This window comes from Homo sapiens, chromosome 7 (genome assembly GCF_000001405.40).
Source record: "Homo sapiens chromosome 7, GRCh38.p14 Primary Assembly".
Taxonomy (NCBI): Eukaryota; Metazoa; Chordata; class Mammalia; order Primates; family Hominidae; genus Homo; species Homo sapiens.
The window spans coordinates 62,711,374-62,715,675 of NC_000007.14; positions in this window are offsets into that span (position 1 = coordinate 62,711,374).

The window sequence follows — 4,302 nt, forward strand, 5'->3', positions numbered from 1 at the left end:
GACATCTTCCTTCTAGTTTTTATCCTGGGATATTCCCTTTTTTGACATTGGCCTCAATGAGCTCCCAAATGTCCATTTGCAGAATGGACAAAAACAGTGTTTCCAAACTGTTGAGTCAAAAGAAAGTTTTAACTCTGTTAGGAGAATGCACACTTCTCAAAGCAGGTTCTTAGGAAGCTTCTTTCTAGTTTTCAACTTCACATGTTTCCTTTTTCACCTTAGGCCTCAATGTGCTCCCAAAGATCCCTTCACAGATTCTAGAAAAACAGTGTCTCCAAACTTCTGAATGAAAAGAAAGTTTTACCTCTGTGAGATCAATGCACACATCACAAAGTGCTTTCTTGGATAGCTTCCTTCTAGTTTTTACCCTGGGATATTTGCTTTATCACTATTGGCCTAAATGGGCTCCCACATATGCATTGGCCAAATGGACAAAAACAGTGTTTCCAAACTGCTGAATAAAAGAAAGATTTAATGCTGTGAGATGAATACACACATCACAAAGCAGATTCTCAGAAAGATTCTTTCTATTTTTTATCTAAAATATCTTTTTTCACCGTAGGCATAAATGGGCCCCAAATATTGCTTCACTGGTTCTACAAAAACAGTGTTTAGAAACTGCTGAAGGAACAGTGAGGTTTAACTCTGTGAGATGAATGCACATATCACAAAGTGGTTTCTCAGATAGCTTCCTTCTAGTTTTTATTCAGGGATATTCACTTTTTGGCCATTGGCCTCAATGAGCTCCCAAATGTCCTTTCGCAGAATGGACAACAACAGTGTTCCAAACAGTTGAATCCAAAGAAAAGTTTAACTCTGTGAGATGAGCAGATCACAAAGCAGTTTCTCAGAAAGCTTCTTTCTTGTTTTTAACTGAAGATATTTCCTTTTTCAACATAGGCCTCAAAGTGCTCCCAAATATCCCTTTGCAGATTCTACAATAACAGTGTTTCCAAAGAGCTGAAACAAAACAAAGGTGTAACTTTGTGATATAAATGCCCACATCACAAATCGGTTTCTCAAGTAGCTTCCTTGTAGTTTTTTTCTCTGGGATATTTGCTTTTTCACCATAGGCCTCAATGAGCTGCTGAATGTCCATTCACAGAATGGACAATAAGAGTGTTTCCAAACTGCTGAATCCAAGAAAGGTTTAACTCTGTGAAATGAATGTACACTTCCAAAGCAGTCTCTCAGAAAGCTTCTTACTTGTTTTTATCTGAAGATATTTTCCCTTTCACCCTAAGCTGCACTGCTCTCCCATATATCCCTTTGCAGATTCTACAAAAACAGAGTTAGCAAACTCCTGAATTAAAACATAAGTTTAACTCTACGAGATGAATGCACACATCACAAAGCAGTTTCTCAGATAGCTTCCTTCTAGTTTTTATCCTGGGATATTTGCTTTTTTGCCATTGGTCTCAATGATCTCCCAAATGTCCATTCGCAGAATGGACAAAAACAGTGTTTCCAAACTGCTGAATCATAAGACAGTTTTACCACTGTGAGATGGATGTACACATCACAAGGAGGTTACTCAGATAGCTTTCTTCTAGTTTTTTCCTGGGATATTAACTTTTTTGCCATTGGCCTCAAATTGCTCACAAATATTCATTTGCAGAATGGAGAAAAACAGCATTTCCAAACTCCTGAATCAAAAGAAACGTTTAACTCTGTGAGAAGACTGCTCACACTGAAAGCAGTTTTTCAGAAAGCTTCTTTCTAGTTTTATCTGAAGATATTTTCTTTTTCAATATAGACCTCAATGTGCTCTCAATATCCCTTTGCAGATCCTACAAAAACAGTTTTTCCAACCTGCTGAATGAAAAGAAACGTTTAATTCTGAGAGATGAATACTCACATCACAAAGTGGTTACTCAGATCACTTTCTTATAGTTTTTATCCTGGGATAAAAACTATTATTTATCCTGGGATAAAAAACTCCTTGCCATTTACCTCAAAGAGTTCTGAAATGCCAATTCACGGAATGGAAAAAAAAAACAGTGTTCCAAACTGCTGAATCAAAAGAAAGGTTTAACTCTGTGACATGAAAGCACACATCACAAAGCAGTTTCTGACAAAGCTTCTTTTCACTTTTTATTAGAAAATATTTTCTTTTTCACCATAGTCTACAATGCACTCCCAAACATCCCTTTGCTAATCCTACAAAAACAGTGTTTCCAAACTGCTGAATCAAAATAAATGTTTAACTCAGTGAGATGAAGGCACATATCAAAAAGCAATTTCTCAGATTGCTTCCTTATAGTTTTTATCCTGGAATATTTGCTTTTTCAGCCTTGGCATTAATGATCCCCCAAATGTCCATTCGTAGAATGGACAAAAACAGAGTTTCAAAATTGCAGAATTAAAAGAAGGGATTTGTTCTGCAAAATGAAGGCACATGTCACAAAGCTTTTACTCAGATAGCTTCCTTCTTTTTTATCCTGGGATATTCACTTTTTGCATTAAACCTCAAAGTGTTCCCAAATGTCCATGTGCAGAATGGACAAACACAGTGTTTCCAGACTGCTGAATCAAAAGGAAGGTTTAACTATGTGAGATGAATGCACACATCACAAAGACATTTCTCAGATAGGTTCCCTCTAGTTTTTATCCTGGTATATTTGATTTTTTGCCATTGGCCTCAATGAGTTGCCAAATGTCCTTTCACAGAATGAACAAAAACAGTGTTTCCAAATTGCTGAATCAAAGGAGACTTTTAAGTCTTTGAGATGAATGCACACATCAGAAAGCAGTTTCTCAGATTCTTTGTAGTTCTTATCTGAAGATATTTTCTTTTTCACCTTATGCATAAATGTGGTCCCAAATATCCCTTTGCAGATTCTACAAAAAGAGGGTTTCCAAACTGCTGGATGAAAAGAAAGTTTAAATCTGCAAGATGAATGTGCACATCAGAAAGCAGTTTCACAGATAGCCATTTTCTAGCTTTTATCCTGGGATATTTGTGGTTTCTGCGAAACTGCTTTGTGATGTGTGCATTCATCACACAGAATTAAAACTTCCTTTTCATTCAGCAGTATGGAAACACTGCTTTTGTCCATTCTGTGAATGAACATTTGTGAGCTTATTGAGGCCAATAGTGAAAAATAGAATATCCCAGGATAAAAAGTAGAAGAAAGCCATCTAAGGAACTGCTTTGTGATGTGTGTATTCATCTGCAAAGTTTGCCTTTCTCTTCTTCCAGGAGTTTGGAAGCACTGTTTTTGCAGAATCTGCGAAGTGATATTTGAGAGCTCATTGAGGCTTAGGATGAAAATGAAATTATCTTCAGATAAAAACTGGAAAGAAGCTTTCTGAGAAACTGCTTCATGATGTGTGCATTCATCTCATAGTTAAACCTTTCTTTGGATTCACCCGATTGGAAACATTGGTTTTATCCATTCTATGAAAGGACATTTGGGAGTTCATTGAGGACAATGGCGAAAAACTGAATACCCCAGATAAAACTAGAAAGAAGCTATCTGAGAAACTGCTTTGTAATGTGTGCATTCAAGTCACAGAGTTAAACCTTTCTTTTCATTATGCATTTTGGAAAAACTATTTTTGTAGAATCTGAGAAGGCATATTTTGGAATTCATTGAGGACTATGGTGAAAAACAAAGTATCTTCTGATAAAAAATAGAAAGAAACTTTCTGAGAAACTTCTTTGAGATGCATGCATTCATCTCACCTAGGTAAAACTTTCTTCTCATTCAGAAGATTGGAAGCACTGTTTGTATAGAATCTGTGAGGGGATATTTGGGGCACATTGAGGTCAGTGTTTAAAAACGAAATTTCTGCAGTTAAAAACAAGAAAGAAGTTTTCTGAGAAACCGCTTTGTATTGTGTGCATTCACCTCAGAGTTCATCCTTTCTTTTGATTATGCACTTTGGAAACACTGTTTGTTTTCATGGGGAAAAAGAAAATATCTTCAGAGAAAAACTACAAAGAAGACTTCTGAGAAACTGCTTTATGTTATGTGCATATATCTTATAGAGTTAAACTTTTCTTTTGATTCATCCATTTGTAAAACCTGTGTTTGCTCATTCTGCAGATTTACATTTGGGAGCTCATTGAGGCCAATGGTGAAAATGCAAATGTTCCAGGATAAAAACAAGAAGGAAGCTATCTGAGGAACTGCCTTGTCATACTTGCATTCATCTCGCAGAGTTAAACCATTCCTTTCATTCAGCATATTGGAAACATTGTTTTTGTAGTATCTGCAAAGAGATATTTGGGAGCACATGGATGTCTATGATGAAAAAGTAAATATATTCAGATAAAAACCAGAAAGAAGCTTTCTG